The following is a 23,661-nucleotide window of genomic DNA, read 5'->3' on the forward strand; positions in this document are numbered from 1 at the left end:
TAGCATACAAAATAGCCTGATTAAAAAAATATTTTTGGAAGTATTAAAGAGAATTTAAAATCAGAATTATTTGTTATTTGCATGGCTTTCTTTTAGATCTAGTATTTATTGGCAGAGAATATGCTTGCAATTTCCCAAAAATGGATAACTATGTCATTACGAATTAATGAAAATAGAAAAAATTGAGGTGGAGTTATATTATTTAAATGACTATTGATCCTTTAAAATTATTTTTAATGAAAAGAGACAGTGTAATTCCTGTTAAAATAAGAAATTATACTTAATCGTTAATTTATTCTATCTACAAGCAAGCTGGAAAGTCTATATTACTTACAAAAGACATGTTTCATTTACTTAAAAGGCTACATTTTTTTAAGATGGTTATTAAACATAATAAAAATTTTTTTGGAAGTCTGGCTGGGCATATTGCAGAGGATGACTAAGGAATAGGGTTAGAATACCCTATTTCTTTTTACTGACAGGAAATACACATCCCAAATCAAGAATATTTGTATAAGAAAAAGCAAAAATATTCACTCGAAATATTCATGTGAACACTACACAATTCCCGTGTGGCACAAAGACAATCTCTTTGTGATGTACCATGTTTTAGGTGGTGATCAGAAATAGTACCACCCTGCCATGATTTACAGAAACTTCCTCCAAACCACAAAATCTGAGGGGAAAAAAACTACACAGACACATTCTCTCTCTCTCTCTGTCTCTCTCTCACACACACACACACCCCTTAAAAGCAAAGTTTTCTTTTACATTCAACTTTAAAAATTTGGCAATTGGCCAGGCACCGTGGCTCATGCCTGTAATCCCAGCACTTTGGGAGGCTGAGGCAGGTGGATCACTTAAGGCCAAGTGTTCAAGACCAGCCTGGCCAACATGGCAAGACCCCCTATCTCCACTAAAAATACAAAAAAATGAGCCAGGCATGACAGTGCATGCCTGTAATCTCAGTCACTCGGGAGGCTGAGGCAGGAGGATCGCTTGAACCCAGGAGGCAGAGGTTGCACTGAGCTGAGATCGCGCCACTGCACTCCAGCTTGTGTGACAGAGAGAAACTCTGTCTCAAAAAAAAGAAAAAAGCATCAGGAGATTTCAAAAATACGTTTGATTTTTAAAATTCAGCATATTTTACTCTTAAAAGTTGTATTTTAGGGTGAATGGTTAAGCAAACAATGGTATATTCACATGTTAGAATAATATTTAGCAATAAAGATGAAGGAAGTAATGATACCTGCAATGACTTGGATGAATCTCAAGGAAATTATGCTGAGTGAAAAAGCCAATCCCCAAAGGTCATATTCTATAGGATTCTATTTCCATATCATTCTTGAAATGACAAAATTATAGAAATGGAGAACAGATTGGTGATTGCCAGAAGTAAAGGAGGAAGGGAAGGGTGGGAGAGAAGTCGGGGAGGCTGTAAAAGAACAGTGATGGATGATGGAGCTGAGGTGCTAAAATCTCATACCTACACATAGGATCAAACTGTAGAGAGCTAAATACACACGCAAGTGAGTACAAGTAACAAGGGGGAAATCTGAACAATATCTTGGATTGCATCAATGTTAATAATTTCATTGTGATATTTTATTACAATTTTGCAAGAGGTTACCACTGGAGAAAAGAGTAAAGTGTACATGGGGTTTCTCAGTATTAGTTCTTACAATTGCATATGAATCTACAATTTTTTCAAAACAAAAAGTTTAAATTTTAAAAAGTCACATTGTTTTGGGATTATACCTTCTAACTTGAGTTAAAACAACATCTTACCTCTCAGAAGATGAATATAAGATATATATGGCTGGGAAACAGCAAAAAATGCTCACTTAAAATATTCAAGTGGGCTGGACATGGTGGCTCATGCCTCTAATCCCAGCACTTTGGGAGGTCGAGGCGGGTGGATCACTTGAGGTCAGGAGTTTGAGACCAGCCTGGCCAACATGGTGAAACCGTCTCCACTAAAAATACAAAAATTAGCCGAGCATGGTGACAGGCATCTATAACCCCAGCTACTTGGGAGGCTGAGGCAGGAGAATCGCTTGAACCCAGGAGGGAGAAGTTGCAGTGAGCCGAGATCATGCCATTGTGCTCTAGCCTGGGTGACAGAGCAAGACTCCATCTCGAATAAATAAAAAATGAAAAAGTAAAATATTCAAGTGAATATCATCCCCACTGGTCCTGTATCTTTCAGGGATCCTAATGACATATTTAATGGAGCTGAAGGGTCCTTTCACCCTTGGAACAACCCAAATGCTTCTGAACAGTTGGAAGCTCCAGGTATGGCCCTGCTTCTCCTGGTCTCAGTAGATGTTCAGAGAAGCTCTTTCAGATTCTCTAGAACAAAATTCTGATCTTGTTACCACATATAAAAGCATCAAGCTTCAAAAAGCACATGTTGTCTAAAACATTTTTCTCCTTCTGTATAGACTTCCCTCTTTCCTCAGCTGGTATTGTGTTTAGATTTTTTTTTCCTGAGACAGGGTCTTACTCTGTGGCCCAGGCTGGGGTGCAGTGGTGTGACCAATAGCTCACGACACCCTCAAACTCCCTGGCTCAAGTGGTCCTCCTCTCTCGGCCTCATGAGTAGCTGGGACTACAGGCGTGTGCCACCACACTGACTAATTGTTTAATTTTTTGTAGAAACAGAGTGTTGCTATGTTGCTATGTTTCCTAGGCTGATCTTGAACTCCTGGCCTCAAGAGATCCTCTCACCTCTGCCTCCCAAATTGCTGGGATTACAGGCAGGAACCACCACACCCAGCCACTGTGCTTACATAGAACCAGAAGAAAAGCTCCCCCCTTCCAAGTGTGTATTTTCCCAATCCTTGGGGTTTTATATGTATAGGAAGCTTGCATTCTAGCTTCATGTCCTCATTCATTGTGGCCGCCAGAGGCTGTGTGCCTCCACACCCACCTTGGGTTTCTCTTGCTTCTTCCTTTTTTCCCAAGCCATGGAATAGGTCCAAGAAAACCATTGTCTGGAAAAGCTCAGAGCTGCCCCCTGTTGCGGAGCCCTCAGATCCTCCTTGCTAAGCTTTACAACTACGTTGTGATTCTCCAAACCAGTGGGTCTTTCTGGGGAAGCTGTTAACAACTGCTCTAGAAGGAAATAACTCTTACTGTTTCTAAAGTCAAATATTTTAGCCATTAACACACGGAAGAGTTCTCCTGATTCAACCCTTTCTGTCTCAGAACCTGTCCAACTCTTGGCCCTGGTTTGGTTTTTGCTGTCACTTACCCCTGTTCTTTTCTGCTTTCTCCTGTGTTTGTCTCCCAGAAAGCACGCCTGTATCTTTTCCCCTTCAAGTCTGTCTAGCCCACATATCTCCTGAGCCACGAACCCAACAGGTCCCTCCAAGAGGATGCCACTTTCTCTCTCTCGTCATAGATGAAGCCCAGGAAACAGGACTGCCTTTTGCTGTTGTTGTAGGGGGTGAAGCCCTGAAGGAAAGAATTGCCACGATCCTTGCGGAGGAGTTGACACGGGAAATGTTAACGTTCTTATCTGTTTGGAGGAGGCACCGTGTACTCCTTGACAGCAATGCTTAATAGATTGTCTCCCAATAAAGCCAGGGTGAAACAGGATTTACTAATTTCAGGGTGACCATAGTATATGTTATGTAAAATAGTTTTGAAACACTCCCTTCTTTGGTTTGCCTGCAATGATAGTCTTGAAACATTTTTAAAAAATGAATGAGAAACCTTCTTGATGCTAAATACAATGAGGTGGGGAAGGCTCGTGCTCCGCTCTCCAGGCGGTTCCCATACAGCCCTGCCTGGAGGGAAGGTGTGAAGATGCCCACCGTTCTCTAGGCTCTGTCACCTGCCTGCACATTTGCAGGTCGCATGGTTCCCTCAGAAAGATGACAGTCAACATGAGCCACCCGGAGGTGACAGACACACCATAGTAGGGAACAGGTTAGGCCACCCGCCTCAATTTGGTTTAAAAGACTTCCTTCTCTCCCTGTGTCCCACCCCCCCCGCCCCATCTATGGTCCACCTTGTGGCAAGCTAGCGAGGCAGATGTAGAGAGCCCCAGGTGAGACGAGCAAGGCAGCGGAGGAGCTGCCTCAAGAGCCAGCTGATGCCAGCATCCCCGCTCTACACGGCACTAGCTCAAGTCTGCAAGGCCAGTCCCGCTCACCTGACCGACCACGGCCCGCTCCGCCTCCACAAGCCCCTCCTTAAAGGCTGTCTGACTTGGTCACTCCATTTCCCCACCTCCACTCTCCCTGCCAGCCCCTTGAGCTTCATGAGAAAGGGTTGGACAGTTGAAAGTTCTATTTGATTTCCCAGCTCTGTTTTTAGCTTTTCTATGCCCACATTGTAAAAGAAACAACAACAGGGCTGGGTGCAGTGGCTCACGCCTGTAATCCCAGCACTTTGGGAGGCCGAGGCAGGCAGATCACGAGGTCAGGAGTTTGAGACCTGCCTGGCCAACATGGTGAAACCCCGTCTCTACTAAAAATACAAAAATTAGCCGGGTGTGGTGGCGGGTGCCTGTAATCCCAGCTACTTGGGAGGCTGAGGCAGGAGAATTGCTTGAAACTGGGAGGCAGGCGTTGCAGTGAGCTGAGATCGCGCCACTGCACTCCAGCCTGGGTGATAAGAGTGAGACTCCTCTCGGGGAAAAAAAACAAAAAGAAAACCAAAGGAAGTTAGTTAGGCTCAATCGCTCCTGCACCTGGATCCCTGGCTGCTGGTGGGGTGGAGGTGGGAAAATTGCTTGAGCGCAGGAGTTTGAGTCCAGCCTGGACAACATAGCAAAACCCTGTCTCTAAATAAACGAATAAGTAAATAATAAAAAGCGAATTCCTATAAGATTTTGCGCATTTTCTGATGTGAGAGGCATAAACATTGGTCATCTGGGGCTTCGAAGACCTAATTAAAACAATCCATGTGAAACAAAACTTTGGCTTCTAGTCCTGTCGGACCAGTAGCCTCAGTAAAGTCACTCTGCTTTTCCAGATCTCAGTTTTTCCTTTTGGAATACAAGGAAATTGAGACACATTATTTCTGATGTTAGTTTCAAAGCTAACATCCTATGGTTCTAGGAAATATATATATGAATTCTTTTGAAGGAGGGTCCTAAAAAATGCAATGCCATTTTAATAGAATTAGCAAATTTAGGCTGAGTGCAGTGGCTCACGCCTGTAATTCCAGCACTTTGGGAGGTCAAGGCAGATGGATCACCTCAGATCAGGAGTTCAAGACCAGCCTGGCCAACATGGCAAAACCCCATCTCTACTAAAAATACAAAAATTAGCCGCACATGGTGGTGCATGCCCGTAATTCCCTGGCACATGCCTGTAATTCCAGTTATTGGGGAGGCTGAGGCAGAAGAATTGCGCGAACCCAGGAGGTGGAGGTTGCAGTGAGTTAAGATGGCGCCACTGCACTCCAGCCCGGGCAACAGAGCCAGACTCTGTCTCAAAAAAAAAAAAAAAAAGGAATTAGCAAATTTGTATATTTTTTAAAAATTCAAATTAGATTTAAATATTAAAGGTCCTTCTATCAGTATTTATATCCAAGAACTAACGGTCACGAGGTCACATAGAGAGGTCAGAGTGACCACAACATGGAATATTGACTGAGAAACTGATCACTTTTTTTTTTTTTTCTTATTGGAGACGAAGTCTCACTCTGTCATCCAGGCTGGAGTGCAGTGGCGCAATCTTGGATCACTGCAACCTTCACCTCCTGGGTTCAAGCTATCCTTCTGCCCTCTGCCTCCCAAGTAGCTAGGATTACAGGCGTGTACCATCATGCCCGGCTAGTTTTTGTATTTTAAGTAGAGACAGGGTTTCACCATGTTGGCCAGGCTAGTCTTGAACTCCTAACTCAACTGATTCGCCTGCCTTGGCCTCCCAAAGTGCTGGGATTACAGGCGTGAGCCACCACGTCCAGTCCAAACTGATCACTTTTAATATTTATTCTCAATTAACTAGGCTTCCAGGTGTAAGAGTAACACCCACCCACACCTATCACATCACTATTGTTTCTTTGTTATCATTTGTTTTTTGAGACAGGGTCTCACACTGTCACCCAGGCTAGAGTACAATGGTGCAATCATAGATCACTGCAGCCTCAAACTCATGGGCTCAGGTGATCCTCCTGCCTCAGCTGCCCAATTAGCTGGGATTATAGGCACACGCCACTGTGCCTGGCTAAATTTTTTGTTTGCTTGTTTGTTTGTTTGTAGAGACAGGGTCTCAATTTTATTGCTCAGGTTGGTCTCAAACTCCTGGCTTCAAGTGACCCTCCCACCGTGGGCTCCTGAAGTGCTGGGATTATAGGCATGAGCCATTAAATCTGGTCTCACATAAATATTATTTTAGGTCAGCCTCTTTCTGATAATGACACTATAAATATCTAACAATACAAGGCAAAGAAAAACCAAATTGGCCATAAAATGAGAGTATGAATTGTAAAAAAAAAAAAAAAGCTACAAAGGTCAGCCCTGATGAAAAAAATCGCATTATTTTATCACTGGAACTGTTTTGGCAAAACCCTACTACCAAAGACAATAGCTGAGTCACCCTTTGTTCTTACTTAAATTGGTACATGGTTTTCGTTATGGCCTAGATAATTTTCGTTAAATTTTAGTTTATGTTTTTGGTATTAAGCTCCAGTTATACTGTTTTTCCCATCATTTGCTATACAATTTGGTTCCTGCTTTCAATGTTTTGTTTGTTGGTTTGATTGGTTAGTTTTGGTTTTGTTGTTGTTTAAGTAAGGGATGATTCCTCCAGTATTGATCATCAGGCAATGAGAACCCATTAAACTTACTGAAGAAGACCAAAGAGACTGCCAATTTAGAAAGAGTGGGCTGGGCGTGGTGGCTCACACCTGTAATCACAGCACTTTGGGAGGCTGAGGCAGGCAGATCACCTGAGGTCAGGAGTTCAAGACCAGCCTGGCCAACATGGTGAAACCCCGTTCTCTACTAAAAGTACAAAAGTTAGCAGGGCGGGGTGGTGGGCACCTGTAATCCCAGCTACTTGGGAGGCCAAGGCGAGAGAATCGCTTGAACCCTGAAGGCAGAGGTTGCAGTGAGCCAAGATCGTGCCACTGCACTCCAGTCTGGGCGACAGAGCGAGACTCTGTCTTGAAAAAAAAAAAAAAAAAAAAAAAGAAGAAGAAATAGTGGCCAATACTCAAGTAAATTGCCAAGTATAATGGATCACCAAAAACTTGCTCCATAGTGTCAATACTGAAGGGACTTGGGACTGAGTGAGAAGAGGGCTGTGGGGGACTTGTTGCAAATCCTGTTTGGATAATAATAGGTATTGTTTATTGAGGGCTTACTATACTTCAGAGTTTATACATACCATCTCTTTTAAACTTCACAATGATCTTACGAGATAACGACTATTATTTCTCTGATTCTGTAGACCAAGAAGCAACCATAGAGCTGTGCCAAATGGATACATCTACTAAGAGACTAAGGAAGACACAGACCTAGTCAGTCTGGCTCCAAAGCTCAGACTCATATATGTCAATAGTTCTTAAATCACATGGGGTCGCTAGAGGAGGGCCAGGGACCTGGGTCCTTTCGAAAGTTTCTCAGATATGGCTGAGTGCGGCGGCTCACACCTGTAATCCCAACACTTTGGGAGGCCGAGGCAGGTAGCTCATTTGAACCCAGGAGTTCCAGTCCAGCCTGGGCAGCATGGAGAAACCCCATCTCTACAAAAAAAAAAAAATACAAAAAATTAGCTGGGTGAGGTGGTGCACGACTGTAGTCCCAGCTGCTCGGGAGGCTGAGGTGGGAGGGTCACTTCAGTCCAGGGAGTCGAGGCTGCAGTGAGCCATGATTGCACCACTGCACTCCAGCCTGGCTGACAGAGTAAGACCCCATCTTAAAATAATAATAATGACAATAATAATAATTCCCAGATGCTCCACTGTGCCACGAGAAAGGAGACCATTGGCTTAGAGGAGCACTTTGATTCCAACGTGCACATGAATTCCTGGGGAATCTTGTTAAAATGCTGACTCTGGTCAGGAAGTGCTGCAAATTCTGTGATTCTACGGTTCTAATAAACTCTTAGGAGAAGCTCGTGTGGATCCATGGCTACCGTCTGAGGAGCAACTAAGAAATTCTTCCTCTTTAGGGGTTGGGGGGTCATTTTGAAAAAAGTTCTGGGGGTGGTAACCCCCTGCCTCATCTGCAAACCACCCCTTGGTGGCATCACTGCAAGGGACCCTTGAAAACTCACCATCAACCAATTTTCCACAAGCAGGTGGTCTCCCTTGCTTCACAGGGAGGGGAAGTAAAGGAAAGATTAATCTTTCATACTCTGAGCCACAGCAATGCCAACTTGATATGGGTAGGAGTGAAAGGAGAGTCACCTCTAGACACCCTCTCTAGCCCCTTCCATCTTCGGTGGCTTTAACATCAGCCTGGGCAGCTGCTCACTAGTACCCAGGACTGAAGCAACTCCCTCTGTTCTGGCACTTCAAGGACAAACCTCTACTTTGCAAAGGGATCCTGAAGCCATTTTGGTTTCTTGTGGAGCACCATGATCAGTGCCAGTGGAGGGGGAATAGACGTGCTCCACCCTGGTGCCTGGGAGAAACGGAAAGCTTTTTTCTGAAAAGTGTTGCAACCCTCCTGCTTCTAGCTCCTGCTGCCCTCCAGTCGTCCTGTCCCCCAGGGACACACATTGCTGATATCAAATAACTTTTATTGTTTAAAGGTAACTGAATACATTGTGTACAGAAAGATACCGTCATTACCAGATGGACCTAAAATCTACATGATGCAAACAGGCACTAAAAGACACATAGAGAAAGTGAGTGTGCCAGAGAATTACATAAGGCTAGGGTAGACAGGGAGTCACGAGGATGGTGAGATGTTTATTGTCATGACCGTATGTGTGTAAAAAAGGAGCTGTGCCGTTTAACTTCAAAGTGGATGTGAAGAGCAGTGTATACATTTGAGAGCTGCTGAGACAAAGCTCAAATGCCAGGAAACTCCAAGCATTTGGCTTCTGCCACTTCCAAAGAGATGTGCGCATGTGTGTGTGTATTTAAGAGGGAGTGATGAAGAGGGAGCTATTTAAAGGTAATCAGGATGATACAATATTTCCTTTCATTATGTTGCATTGTATCTGGAACTGGATCACGTGGTTTCCACATCTTGGCCATGATGCTTGGGCTTTTTCACTTACCAAGAGCAACATTGAAGTCCCCTGCGAATATGCCCCAGAGGGACCCCAGGAAAGAATGGCGCTGCACACTACTCCCACTCTGAAAACTTCTCCAGGTCTTTAAAATGTCCAGACCTGGGTGGGAAGGAGTCTTCTCTCTCCAGAAGTTATATCTCCAAAACAAATTATTGGTTCGTTTTGTTCTTTGTTTTTGCTGTTGTGTGTTGTGTGAGTTGGAAGGCTCCTGAGCCAGACATGGGAGGGGAACATGCAGCTTGGCACCTGCGTCATTGTTGACACCCAACTGGTTCCTGTCCCACATGTACCACCTCACCAAACCATCACGTATCCTTTGCACATGCAACTCCTCCTTTCTAGAAGCAACAGCCTGTGTCCAAAGCTACTTGCTTTGTGGAAGGGCCCCTCAGCCACACCCGGTTTGATCAGTTTTGCTTTCTTAGCACTCCCCACTCCCAAAGAGTGTCTTGGAGCAGGATCTATGACTCACTGGTTTACCAGGAGTTCACAGCCCCGAGTCATTTAGGATCAGAACATCAAGAACAAAGAAAAGCCCCAGGATGCCTTCTAGGAATCTTATGGCATCCAAAAGGAAAAGTGAGGGTTCCCTGGACTCTCTAATAGCCTCGTGAAACACCAAACATACATTTTAAAAGACCAGAACATCTTCCATCCACTGCTACATCATGAATCCTCATTAAGATGACACTTTGCTCCGAAAATATTCCAGTTGGCATTTTAAGATATTTCCTTTTTAAAACTACTTAAATATCTGATGTGTGAAAAACATTGAATTTTACCATTTGTAATTGGAACCAACATTAAGCAGAGTTTGTCAACAAGGTTTGTGTAGAAATGTATATATACAGACTTTTCATGTACATATATAGCATATGTTGGATGAAGAGATTTATGAAAATACACAACATATAATTCCGTAAAGCAATAATTTGTTAAGCAAAAGAAAAAAATACATTTCAGGGTAAATTTTAGAAGATTTTTTAAAAAACTTTACATGAGAGTTGACTTTATGAGAAAGCATTCCCCTCTGGTAGGTCTGATTGTATCATTGGTGTCTTTCCCACTAGACTGTGAGCTCCACAGTCTGCAGAATGGGAATGTGCAATCTGTGTTTTCACTACCAAATCTCTAGCTCGCACTCAGCACAGCACTTGGCACTACAGTACGGTTCTACAAGCATTTGTTGAATTAACTAAGTTATATTTGACTGCTAGGAAAGCCCACTCTTGCATTGAAAGAGAGAGAGAGAGGAAGGAAGGAAGGGAGGGAAGGAAGGAAAGAGGCTTATTGCTTTCAAATTGATCTATTTAATTCAACACCTGCGAAAGCAATCCTGTAGCTTGGTGTTCCAGCTCTGGTTGTATATGCAAGTCTTAGTCATACTGGCTAATATTGACGGCTTATCACACATCACAGGTCATCTTACCAGATCTTAACAACACTTTTTTTTTTTTTTTTTTTTTTTTTTTTTGGAGACTGAGTCTTGCTGTATCGCCCAGCCTGGAGTGCAGTGGAGCAATCTCGGCTCACTGCAACCTCCACCTTCCAGGTTCAAGTGATTATACTGCCTCAGTCTCCTGAGTAGCTGGGATTACAGGTGCCTACCACCATACCCGGCTAATGTTTGTATTTTCAGTAGAGACAGGGTTTCACCATGTTGGCCAGGATGGTCTGGAGCTCCCGACCAAGTAGTCCACCCACCTCAGCCTCCCAAAGTGCTGGGATTACAGGCGTGAACCATTGCGCCCAGCCACAACACCTTTCTAAGTAGGTAGAATTACCATCATCACTATGCCCATTTTACAGATAAGGACAGTGAGGTTAAATTGTTGCCCAAGGTCACAGAGCCAGCAAGGGGTAGAGCCAGGATTCAAACCCAGGTCATCTGGCTGCACGCCCCAGCCTGAATTGCTGTAGATGCAGTTCTGCAAACCCATTCCTGGGAAAGAATGCTTTATTTTTAGGTGATAAAGACAAGCCATCTACTTCTGCAAAATCTTACATTTTAAATTTGAAATTCAAAGTTAGCAAAGCTCCAAATCAGAACCTACTGAACTCAAATCCAAGCTCAGAAGATGTGACTTCCAGCAAATTACTTAACATCATTGAAGGCTGAAAAAATACCTGTCTCCAAGAGATGATGTGCGGAAATTCTCTGGCTCCTGGTAGGCATGGAACTAATGATCACTAAGTGCGTTTAATGTCCTTGCTAGAGTAAAGAAAGCACTGGGCAAAGCTCATGGCTCCTAGTAGGTCCTCCGTGTCTGTTTTCTCCTTCTCCCTTCTTCCGTCTTTCATACACGTCGGGAGAAGAGTGTGGATATTATGTCCACATCATTGAGATAAAAGATATTTATCAACAAACAATTGCAGTTGCAACGGGAAAGCAAGACAAGAGCATGGGATCCATGGTTTGTGTGAATGCAGATAGCAGGGATGCGATAGCATACATATGGCAAATATTATGTGCCTAAAAGCTGGAGAGCTGCAAAACAGACCATTCCTATTTATAGTGAGAATAGACAGCCCGCAGGCTTTGCCACCACGTGTTCCTCTTGCTGCTCAGGATGAATGGGGGCTTCAGACCAAGTCCCAAGTTTTTAGTTAACAATCCACACCAAGTTTTAGATATAACATTTCCAGGGCCCCTATGTCATGAACTAAATATGTGAGGTTCAAAAAACTGGAATGGAATTTAATTTGCAGTGGGATCAGGACCTTTTGCGAGTAGCTGATGACCTAGGGTGGATGTAACGCATACACATGTGCAGGAGAGAGCTTTAAGCACCAGGGCAGAGCTGAGGCCTTCTTAAAAAAAAATGGTAAATACAATTCTGAGAAAAATCAGGCCCCTGTATTTCTTGAGCTGGAGAGAATTGGGCATACAGGTATGTTTACAAAGACTGAGCTCGCGGAAGAGGTTTTAAAAGACCAAAAAAAAGTCTCAATGGGAAAAGATACCTTCTGCCCTGCCTCCGCCACCTCCTGCTCCTCCTCCTCTCTCTCTCAGCTCATGCGCATGTACACACACACATACACACACACACACACACGCACACTTACACACACTGCACTGACGCACACATACACACACTGCACTGGCAAGGATCCCATCCCCAAGGCTCCTCGCTCCGGAGGGTGGTCACTCCCCAAAGAATGTGCTCTTTGGGGTTCCCCTGCGAGGGAGCCTGCAGCCCTCTCTCCTGGCCCTGCCTGCTCTCTGTCGGTTGCTTTCACTCTCACTTTCTCTTCCTGGAAGCCGTTTCCTGATTTACACTGATAGCCTGAAATCCTATGAATTCAAAGCTGCCACACTGTGTTCATAGCAAACATATAATATATTATTTAGTTCGTTTTCAATTACAAAGATATTTCCTTGAAAACAATCATTCACAGGAACTTGGCCATGTTTTAAATATGGGAAATAACAAAGTGGCCAAGGAAAGCCTTAGTAAACACGCAGGGAGAGCACACCAATCAGTCTTCTTATAGACATTTTTGTTTCCTTACAAAAACTTGAACCTTCATAACTTTTCACAGTAGAACACTGAAAGCCAAGAGACACAAATCATTCTAAAATAGTGAGTTAGCCATACAAAATTACAGAAAAGTCTAGATAAGTTGAATCGTTGGTTTCACTTTTTCCTTTCAAAACACCTTATTGTTAAGAAAGTAAGGCCAAAAAAAAGGAAGAAAGTTAAAAAGCCAAATTGGAAAACAATGGGAAAAAATATTTGAAGGACCTTTTTTTTTTTTTTTTTTTTTGAGATGGAGTTTCTCTCTGTCCCCCAGGCTGGAGTGCAGTGGTGCAATCTCAGCTCACTGCAACCTCCACCTCCCGGATTCAAGCAATTCTCCTGCCTCAGCCTCCCAAGTAGCTGGGACCACAGGTGTGCACCACCATGCCTGGCTAATTTTTTTGTATTTTTACTAGATACGGGCTTTCACCATGTTGGCTAGGCTGGTCTCGAACTCCTGACCTCAAGTGATCCACCCACCTTGGCCTCCCAAAGTACTGGGATTACAGGCGTGAGCTACCACGCCCAGCCAGATCCTATGTTTGATAAGGGACTAACATCCAGAATACATAAAGAATTCTTTCTTTCTGTTTCCCGGCCCCACCAAGGCAGAGTCTCTCTCTGTCTCCCAGGCTGGAGTGCAGTGGCACAGTCACGGCTCACTGCAGCCTGGACCTCCTGGGCTCAAGCGATTCTCCAACTTCAGCCTCTCAAGTAACTGGGACTACAGGCATGTGCCACCAAGCCTGCCTAATTTTTATATTGTTTGTAGAGACAAGGTTTCACCATGTTGCCCAGTCTGGTCTCAAAATCCTGGGCTCAAGAGATCCCCCTGCCTTGGCCTCTCAAAGTGCTGGGATTACAGATGTAAGCCACTACACCCAGCAGGAATTCATATAGCTCAATAACAAAAAAAAAAGACAAATAACCCAATTGTAAAATAAGCAAAAGATTTGATTAGATATTTCCCCAAAGAAGGTATACAATGACCAATAAGCACAAGAAAAGATGCTTTGCATCAGGAGTCCCCAAGCCTGGGCAGTGGACTGGTACCAGTCCATGTGGCCTGTTAGGAACCCAGCTGCACGGCAGGAGGTGAGAGTCGGGCCAGTGAGCATTACTGCCTGAGCTCTGCCTCCTGTCAGATCAGCTGCAGCGTGAGATTCTCATAAGAGCATGAACCCTTTTGTGAACTGACATGCGAGGGATCTAGGTTGCACACTCTTTATGAGAATCTAATGCCTGATGATCTGAGATGGAACAATTTCATCCCGAAGCCATGCTGCTCCCTCCACACCACATCTGTGGAAAAACTGTCTTCCATGAAACTGGTCCCTGGTGGCAAAAAGGTTGGGGACCACTGCTCCACATCATTAGCCATCAGGGAAGTGCAAGTCAAAACCACAGTGAGATGCCACTTCACATCTTCTAAGATGGCAATAATAAAAATGACAGATGAAAGCAAGTAGTAGTAAGAATGTGGAGAAATTGGAACCCTCATATGCTGCCGGCGGAAATGTAAAATAGTCCAGCCACTGTGGAAAACAGTGTCACAGTTTCTCAAAATGTTAGACACAGAGTAGCCATATGACCTGGCAGTTCCACTCCTAGGTGTTTACCTAAGAGAAATGAAATCTGGCCAGGCGTGGTGGCTCACGCCTATAATCCCAGCACTTTGGGAAGCCAAGGTGGGCAGATCACCTGAGGTCAGGAGTTTGAGACCAGGCTGGCCAACATGGTGAGACCCTGTCTCTACTAAAAATACAAAAATCAGCTGGGTGTGGTGGCACATGCCTGTAATCCCAGCTACTTGGGAGACTGAGGCAGAAGAATTGTTTGAACCCAGGAGGTGGAGGTTGCAGTGAGCCAAGATGGTGGCATTGCACTCCAGACTGAGCAACAGAGTGAGACTCCATCTCAAAAAAAAAAAAAAAAAAGAGAGAGAAATGAAATCTACATCCACAAAAGCTTATACATAAATGTTCGTAGCAGCGTTATTTATAATAGTAAAAAAGTGGAAACAACTAAAGTGTTTATCAACTATGAATAGATAAAATGTGGTATATCCATGTAATGTAATATTATTCAGCCATAAAAAGGAATGAAGTGCTGATATATACTACAGTGTGGATAAATCTGGAGAACAGTATCCTAAGTGAAAAAAACCGTGAATAAAATAGCACATATTATATGATTCTGTTTATATAAAATGTCTAGAATAGGCACATCTATAAAGATAGAAAGTAGATTAATGTTTCTCTAAGACTAGGGGTGGTGAAGACGGTAGGGAATGACTGCTAAAAGGTTTGGGGTTTATTTTTGGGGTGATGAAAATGTTCTAAACTTAGGCTGGGTGCAGTGGTTCACACCTATAATCCCAGCAGTTTGGGAGGCTGAGGCGGGTGGATCGCTTGAGGCCAGGAGTTCCAAACAAGCTTTGGCAACATAGTGAGATCCTATCTCTACAAAAAAAAGAAAAAAAAAAAACCATAAAAATGAGCTGGCCATGGTAGCACGTACCTGTAGTCCTAGCTGCTCTGGAGGCTGAGGCTGGAGGACCGCTTGAGCCCAGGAGTTCAAAGCCGTCGTGAGCTAGGATCAAGCCACTGCACTCCAGCCTGGGTGACAGAGCAAGACCTTGTCTCTAAAAAAAAAAGAAAGAAAGAAAAGAAAAATCTATGCTTTAAAATTAGATCATGGCGGATGATTGCATAACTCTATGAATATAGAACACCACTGAATTTAACACTTTAAATGGGTGAATTTTATGGTATGTGAATTATATCTCAGTAAATATATTTGAAATATAAAATTAGTACATAGTTAACATCTCTGTAACTCTGTGCTAAACACCTTAATTTATCATTTTGTTCATAACACACCATAGCACACCTGTTAGACTATTTCTATCCCTAATGGTTAAAAAAAATGTTTTGACATTAAATTGGAAAGAAATGACAATGGTTAGGAGTTAAACTTTCCACTTTTCTCAATATAAGTACTAGAAAATGTCATCATGCAAAGAACAGAATTCATTTACTTCATAGAACAACAACGGATGTACTTTTCAAGGTCCTTCCTACTGAAGAATGCTAAGCACTTAAAAAAAAAGTAATTCTTTTGAGAATTAGAAACACCACCTAAGTATTTTTTTCAAAACTTTCAAATAAACACACCCTAACAATTATTTTATTTTCTCAGGCACTAGCTAAATATCTCAAGTGGGGGCTTTTTTGGTGGTATTTCCCACCCCCCAAGCCCTTGCGTGCAGGTAGTGCCTCATAAGTGTTAAGAAAGTCTATGCACAAAGTAAATGACATCTGCCTACAGGATAGTGGTCCTGCTGTTTACAGTATTTCCACTGGATACACGAAGAAAATATGGAATGATTTTCACACAATTTCTCTGAGTGTTAGGCCATGTATTCTCCTGCTCCTTCTGGAGATTCCAATTCAATACGTGCTCACCCACGAAGCATCTGGGACACACAGGGCATGTGACAAGTGCTTCCCAGGGAACAAAGGTGAGGAAGGTGGCTCCCATCCTTGTGGCACCTTCCATCCACGTGGAGATGAGAAGATCAGCCAACCAGGAGCATCACAGAGCAGGGCCTGCCATCAGAGTGGGTGAGCTTCTTGGGGAGCCTGGGTTTGATATAGACCTGGGAGAAGGAGAGAAGGCAGCAGAAGGAGGGAGGAGTGCAGGGAGCAGGAGGGGGTCTTTCCAGACAAGAGGAACATCATGAATAAAACCTGGATCCTGAGAAGAAAAGGACCAACCTGGGAGAAGAGTTTGGGGGAAGGTGGAGATGACTCAGGGAAGCAACAAAGCCCATTTTCTTTTCTTTTGTTTTCTTCTTCTTTTTTTTTTTTCTTTTTTTTCTTTTTTTTTTTGACAGAGTCTCGCTCTGTCACCAGGCTGGAGTGCAGTGGCGGGATCTCAGCTCACTGCAACCTCTGCCTCCTGGGTCAGCCTGCCGAGTAGCTGGGATTACAGGCACGCGCCACCACACCCAGCTAATTTTTGTAGTTTTAGTAGAGACGGGATTTCACCATGTTGGCCAGGATAGTCTGGATCTCCCGACCTCATGATCCGCCTGCCTCGGCCTCCCAAAGTGCTGGGGTTACAGGCGTGAGCCACCGCACCCGGCCTCAAAACCCATTTTCAGTGCCACTGGATGAGCAGCTCTGCTGGGAAAAAGTGAAGGAGAGGGAGCCAGGAGCACCTGTGGAATACGGATTTGGCAAAATGCCACCCAAGGAAATGAGGACATTGGCTGCTGATTCCAAGGGACTCTCCTCTGCACATGCGCGCTTAGCAGGGTAGATGCAAAAGGCCCTGTGTTAGGGAAGGAGCTCCTGTGTCAGCTGATTGACTTCTCCAGTGATGGTTGGTTCTGCCGCGGGCCAGGACGACCAGCAACAGTAGCAAAGTCCGAAGTGTTGCACGTACGCTTGCTGTTTTTATGTTGGGTCTCAACGGACTAATAATTTATGGAAATATTTCATCATAGTCCAAAACAGAAGCAGAAACTTCCAAACAGTATTTGTTTGGAAGTTTGGGAAGGACCTGAGAACACAGAAATGGCAGTTAAAAACTCAGCATGAACCCAGCAGCAGAGGCTTAGAGGCTGCAGGCAGCGGGAATTCCATTTTCTAACAATCCCAGGAAGGATGAGAGTTAGTGGGGAAAAGAAAGTTATTGAACAGTGGCCGGGAGCAGTGGTTCATGCCTGTAATCCCAGCATTTCGGGAGGCCGAGGTGGGCGGATCAGAAGGTTAGGAGTTCGAGACCAGCCTGGCCAACATAGTGAAACCCCGTCTCTACTAAAAATATAAAAATTAGCCAGGCATGGTGATGTGTGCCTGTAGTCCCAGCTATTCGGGAGACTGAGGCAGGTGAATTGCTTGAAGCTGGGAAGGGAAGTTGCAGTGAGCCAAGATGGTGACACTGCACTGCAGCCTGGGTGACAGAGCGAGACTCCATCTAAAAAAAAAAAAAAGTAATTGAACAGCTTCTGTTTCTCCTATCTGTTTCCTAGGGCCCCTCCCACGTGGCAGATGGGTAGTTTCTGGTATTTACCTTGACTGCTAGGTGAGCTAGTTGGGGCAGGAAACAACACTGAGGTTCCAATGGTCTCAGGAGGAGATTCCTTCCTCCTCATTCATTTATTCCTGGAAGGAAATCATTTCATCCTCTTGTACTTCAGGGAACTTTCTACAGCTTTTCACAGAGTAGTGGACTAAGGATTTTCTCATCACCAGTGAGAGAAAGCTAAATGAGAAAGTTGAAGAGGGGTTGGGAGATGAAAACACAGGGGCAAATTGCATGGAAGATGCCTGCTCTTCACTCCTAAGATGCATGGGCCTCTCAGTCTACCAGGTAACCCCAACCCTCTCTGCAAGGCCATGCTTTAGCCTCTGCTCTTCTAGAACCTTCCTTGGCACCCTCTCCACGGCCGCCAAGATGGCAGCAGTTCTCTCTGGAACCATGGAATCTCACCCATCCTCCCGCCTGACCTCCCTGAGCTGGTTCTGAATCACCAGTCTCTCTCTTGGACAGAAGGAGGAGGCTGACCCAGGCATTGTCTGTGGGTCTGTAGCTTCTAGAGTGATACCGGCACACGGTAACCCCAATAAATGTTTGCTGAGTAAAAAACCAACGGTCTCTTTGGTATCTGATGGTAAATGCAGATGGAAAAGGTCACCACGGACATCTTTTCTTCTTGCTTTGCCCTCAGTGGAGTCTACCTGGCCAGGGACCTGATCTCTTGACCTTTGAAATGGAGCAGAAAATAAAAACGTCTCAGGATTTAGGGATGCCCAAAGGTCACCTGATCTAAACTCCTACTTTTATGGATGAGAAAACAGGACTTTCCAGTGCTAACCCCAATTTAACCTGTCCCCCAAGTGCCCAGAACTTGCTGTGAGATCCTGTTATACATGGGAACAGACAGGGAGGGCGTTGGGTAGGAACAACTCCTACAACTGCAGGAAGTAACATACAGATGATTGGCTCTAGAAGTGGGGGACCTTGGCTCAGGTCCTAGCCCCTCTGTCATTTGGGCAAATCCAGTAAATTTTCAGCCTCAGTCTCCTCATCTAGAAAATGGACAAGAATCATTGTAACTATATGGTTTTCATCACAGGACTTTCGTGAAACATTTGGTCTGAAGGCTCTTGGAAATCTGTAAATGCCTTCTACATGTTAGCTATGGTTTCATTTGTTGTTATTTTCCATAAACCCAAGCCTATTTAAGAAGGGAGAAGACATAATTGCAGTGTGGCAGTGAATTTTATAAATGCTGAGAGATTCTAAAGATGGGACACCTGAGGATGCTCAAGGTTATTTTATTTTATTTTATTTTATTTTATTTTATTGAGATGAAGTCTCATTCTGTCACCCAGGCTGGAGTGCAGTGGTGCAATCTCAGCTCACTGCAGCCTCCGGCTCCCAGGTTCAAGCAATCCTCCTGCCTCAGCCTCCCAAGTAGCTAAAATTACAAGCATGTGCCACCATGCCCAGCTGATTTTTGTATTTTTAGTAGAGATGGGATTTCATCATGTTGGCCAGGCTGGTCTCGAACTCCTGACCTCAAGTGATCTGCCTGCCTTGGCCTCACAAAGTGCTGGGATTACAGGCATGAGCCACCATGCCTGGCTTTTTTTTTTTTTTTTTTTTGGCAAGGTCTCACTATGCTGCCCAGGCTGAGGTGCAGTGGTGCAATTTTGGTTCACTGCAGCCTTGGCCTCCTGGGCTCAAGTGATCCTCCCACCTCAGCCTCCTGAGTAGCTGGGACCACAGGCATCCCCACCACACCCCACTAATTTTTGTATTTTTTGTAGAGTCGGGGTTTCTCCATGTTGCCCAGGCTGGTCTCAAACTCCTGGGCTCAAGCAATCCACCTGCTTCTGCCTCCCAAACTTCTGGGATTTCAGGCGCATGCCACCACACCCAGCCGGGTTAATTTTCAATGGATCCAGCCTGTCCCTTCAGGACAAATGTAGTCCAAGTCAACTGTCTGGGGCCAAGTCCTGAAGTCTCTCATTTACCTTCCTTGGCTGGCATTTTCTGCCCTGCTGTAAAGAGATAGCAAGGCCCCCTTCTGTCATTGTCTTGGGTGATAGATGGGTGAGGAAACAGGGGTGGTTGTGTGGTCAAGGCCCCAGGACACTAAGGAGACCCTCCACTCCTGTCTTCTTCCCTATTTGGAGAATACACAAAAGCATAGGACCCCAGACCTGCCACTTGGCACCTGATTCTATATTTTCCCTCATGAATAAACTGCACATCATTTTCACACACACATCGTTTATAAATTAGTAGGTTCAATGGCTGAGATGTCTGATGATTTTCCTGGGTTTATTTATATAAGAAGAGAATACTTCTTGATTGATATATATCTACATCTATATCTATCTATCTATATATGTATCTGTTTAGAATGGATTCCTCCCAAATACAAAAGCAATGCATGCTCAATTCATACATTTACTCATTTATCCTCAGATTTTTTATCCTCTGTGTGTTAAGAGCTGTCCTAGACACTAGAGAAAGAGTAGTGAGCTAAAGAGACAGAAATCCCTGCCCTCGCTAAGCTTAGGTCCTAGTGAACTCTAGATGCAAAAAAATAAAAATTGAGGAAAAACGCAAAACATCCTCTTAATTTCAATTCCTAATGGTTTAGAAATGCCCATCCATTGCTTCTTTTATTTATCTCTTCATTCTGAGATCTTAATCATTTTTAAATAATAAATAATGTAGTCCATTCTCGCTACTTCTCTGTATATTTGAAATTTTTGATAAGAAATTTGTTGCTGTTGTTTTTTGAGACAGAGTCCTACTCTGTTGCCCAGGCTGGAGTGCGATGGCGTGATCTCAGCTCACTGCAACCTCCACCTCCCGGGTTCAAGCGATTATCCTGCCTCAGCCTCCTGAGTAACTGGGACTCCAGGCACCTGCCACCACGCCCAGCTAATTTTTGTATTTGTAGTAGAGACAGGTTTTCCCCATGTTGGCCAGGCTTGTCTTGAACTCCTGACCTCAAATAATCCACCCACCTCAGCTTCCCAAAGTGCTGGGATTGCAGGTGTGAGCCACCGCGCCTGGCTTTGATAATAAAAATTTTAAATCTGGGCAATCCAGGCACTTGAGCCCTCTCCACCTGTGTCACCTTTCTAGAGGGAAACAGGTTGCCCTCTCAGTCTCCTGCCTGTTTTTCCAGAATTATTCTGTGGATGTTCAGGCACATTTCTGTGCCAGCTTGGATTCCTACCTGTGAAACCCAAGAGGCTGTGCTCCCTGGACAAGCCCAGCCCACTCAGCCTCACCCCCAGATGATGAGGCCATGACGGTGGAACACTTCCTCGGGCTTGGGCTGCCTCTGTTCCATCCATTGGCCTGTACCCATGACCTGGGCCAAGGCTGAAAAGGCCTGGGCTCTAGGCAGGATGTGCACCTCCCACCAACACTGTGCAGTCCAGGCATAGAACCACGACCTCCTGAGCCCCAGCGTTCACACTGGCAAGAGTGGATGATGGTCTCTATCTGGCCTCACAGTGGTCTCTGTGGAGTCAAGTCAGTTGGGACAGCACCTCACAGTCCTACTTGCAGTGCATTCGTGTAGTAAAAAACGACCTCAGAGCAGAGGTGCTCCCCTTGGTATCACATTAGGATCCCCTGGGGAGATAAGAGATACATCTACACAAATGCCAGGTCCCACCTGGACCAGTTAAGTCAGCCACACTGGAGGTGGGGCCCAGGCACCACCAGTTTTAAAGCTCCCCAGCTGGCTCCAGCAGGCAGCCAGGCTGTGGACCAGGATTCAGGAGCACGTTGACTCCCGGTGGAGTTTTGCGGAATGAGTCATATAGGCAGGAATGCCAATTAAGTTGTGGTATGTGGGCTGTTTTTACAGTTCTGATTTTGGGAGAGCATGGTCGTTACCAGATTTGTTTTTAAGATCACAGGTGTTTCATAAAAGTCTGAGAGGACATCCACCAAAGTGTTCCCAGAGGTGATAAATAAGTTAGCGTTCGTGGTTGGGGGGTATGTATTCGTGGAGGGGGCACCCTGTGGGTGCTGGCTCTACGGCGGTTTTCAATTTGCTGTACACAGAAGTGTGCATCCAGCAGCACACGGATGATTTGTGCACTTTGCTGCAGGTGTGCTATGCTCTGTTAAAGCTTTATTTTGTTTTGTTTTTGAGACAGTGTCTCGCTCTGTCACCCAGGCTGGAGTGCAGTGGTGCGATCTCGGCTCACTGCAACCTCCGCCTCCTGGATTCAAGTGATTCTCCCACCTCAGCCTCCCAGGTAGCTGGGAAGATAGGCGCGCAAGCCACCACGGCCGGTTAATTTTTGTATTTTTAGTAGAGATGGGGTTTCACCATGTTGGCCAGGCTGGTCTTGAACTCCTGACCTAAGGTGATCTGCCCACCTTGGCCTCCCAAAGTGCTGGGATTACAGGCATGAGCCACCGCGCCCGGCCTGTTGTTAAAGCCTTAAAAGTCACACACACACACACACACACACACACACACACACACACACACACACACACATTCTGCCACAAAAAGGTTAACAGTAGTTACCCTTCAGGTGATTAGAATTCAAGCAATTTAGGCTTTTTTCCTTTGTACTTTTCAACGTTTTTTGAATATTTTTCTGTGAGCAGGTATCATTTCACAAAAATAAAGCATTTATCTAAAAGAAAGTCAATGGAAAAGAGAGGGCAAAGGAAGAGAAAGGGAGAAAGGGGAGACTTTTTTGTTTTTGAGACAGAGTTTCGCTGTTGTTGCCCAAGCTGGAGTACAATGGCGTGATCTCAGCTCACTGCAACCTTTACCTCCCGGGTTCAAGCAATTCTCCTGCCTCAGCCTCCTGGGTAGCTGAGATTATAGGCATGTGCCACACACCCGGCTAATTTTTTGTATTTTTAGTAGAAACGGGGTTTCACCATGTTAGCCAGGCTGGTCTTGAACTCCTGACCTCAGGTGATCCACCCACCTTGGCCTCCCAAAGTGCTGGGATTACAGGCGTGAGCCACCACGCTCAGCCTGGGGAGACATTTTATTGCTTATCAGGATAGTTCTGTTCTTGTCTCATAGTTCAGTAAAGCAAATAGTCATGATGTGACTGCTTCCTATTTGAGATCTGTTCCCCAGCAAGTAATCTACCTTGGTATCTTCAGCTCCCAGCATCCCAGAAATATTGGCTACCTGGGCCCTGTCTGACCTTGGGCAAGGCCTCTGTTGAAGGTTAAGCAAGAACCCGGGCGTGCTCACCCCAGACGCCTACCCAGGGGATGTCGAAAGGGGCTGGGGAACTCCAGGCACAAGCTCCAGCAAGAGAGGTCTATTATGTGTGGACAGACTAACTCCACTGGGTGTCTGCATGAATGCCCCAAAATTCCTCCAGCTAGACTAACTGAAAATTCATTTTCCCTCTTGGACTTTATGCTTCTCTCAAAATTTCTCTGCTGGATAGAGAGGGGAAGGAGCAAGTGTTAATCAGTCCACTAGTGTGATCTGAGAGCATGATAAACACCAACTATCAGCCCGTTGTAAAGTTACTCATCCCCTAAATAACTTTATTGGACTCTTATTGGTGACTGTTTTTATTGGACTGTAATTGATGAACTTTTTTTTTTTTTTTTTTTTTGAGACAGGGTCTCACTTTGTCACCCTAGGCTGGAGTGCAATGGTGCCAACACAACCAACTGCATCCTTGATTTCCTGGGCTCCAGTGATCCTCCTACCTCAACCTCTGGAGTAGCTGGGACTACAGGTGCACCACCAGACTTGGCTGATTATTATTATTATTTTGGTAGAGACAAGGTTTTTCCATGTTGCCCAGCCTGGTCTCAAACTCCTGACCTCGAGCAATCCACCTGTCTTGGCCTCCCAAAGTGCTGGGATTATAGGCATGAGC

At 44.8% G+C, this 23,661-nt stretch overlaps 5 annotated features.

Moving 5' to 3' along the window:
- Positions 4,198 to 4,697: an enhancer, noted in NCBI's record as "H3K4me1 hESC enhancer chr15:99135615-99136114 (GRCh37/hg19 assembly coordinates)". NCBI's record gives its function as "activates a minimal SCP1, AML or CMV promoter by ChIP-STARR-seq in naive H9 embryonic stem cells {active_cell/tissue: H9 hESC(naive)}" and the evidence as "EXISTENCE:reporter gene assay evidence [ECO:0000049][PMID:30033119]".
- Positions 11,803 to 12,303: an enhancer, noted in NCBI's record as "H3K4me1 hESC enhancer chr15:99143220-99143720 (GRCh37/hg19 assembly coordinates)". NCBI's record gives its function as "activates a minimal SCP1, AML or CMV promoter by ChIP-STARR-seq in naive H9 embryonic stem cells {active_cell/tissue: H9 hESC(naive)}" and the evidence as "EXISTENCE:reporter gene assay evidence [ECO:0000049][PMID:30033119]".
- Positions 12,304 to 12,804: an enhancer, noted in NCBI's record as "H3K4me1 hESC enhancer chr15:99143721-99144221 (GRCh37/hg19 assembly coordinates)". NCBI's record gives its function as "activates a minimal SCP1, AML or CMV promoter by ChIP-STARR-seq in naive H9 embryonic stem cells {active_cell/tissue: H9 hESC(naive)}" and the evidence as "EXISTENCE:reporter gene assay evidence [ECO:0000049][PMID:30033119]".
- Positions 12,427 to 12,576: an enhancer, noted in NCBI's record as "active region_10140". NCBI's record gives its function as "activates an Ori minimal core promoter by ATAC-STARR-seq in GM12878 lymphoblastoid cells {active_cell/tissue: GM12878}" and the evidence as "EXISTENCE:reporter gene assay evidence [ECO:0000049][PMID:35858748]".
- Positions 16,852 to 17,352: an enhancer, noted in NCBI's record as "H3K4me1 hESC enhancer chr15:99148269-99148769 (GRCh37/hg19 assembly coordinates)". NCBI's record gives its function as "activates a minimal SCP1, AML or CMV promoter by ChIP-STARR-seq in naive H9 embryonic stem cells {active_cell/tissue: H9 hESC(naive)}" and the evidence as "EXISTENCE:reporter gene assay evidence [ECO:0000049][PMID:30033119]".

Source organism: Homo sapiens, chromosome 15 (assembly GCF_000001405.40).
Source record: "Homo sapiens chromosome 15, GRCh38.p14 Primary Assembly".
NCBI lineage: Eukaryota > Metazoa > Chordata > Mammalia > Primates > Hominidae > Homo > Homo sapiens.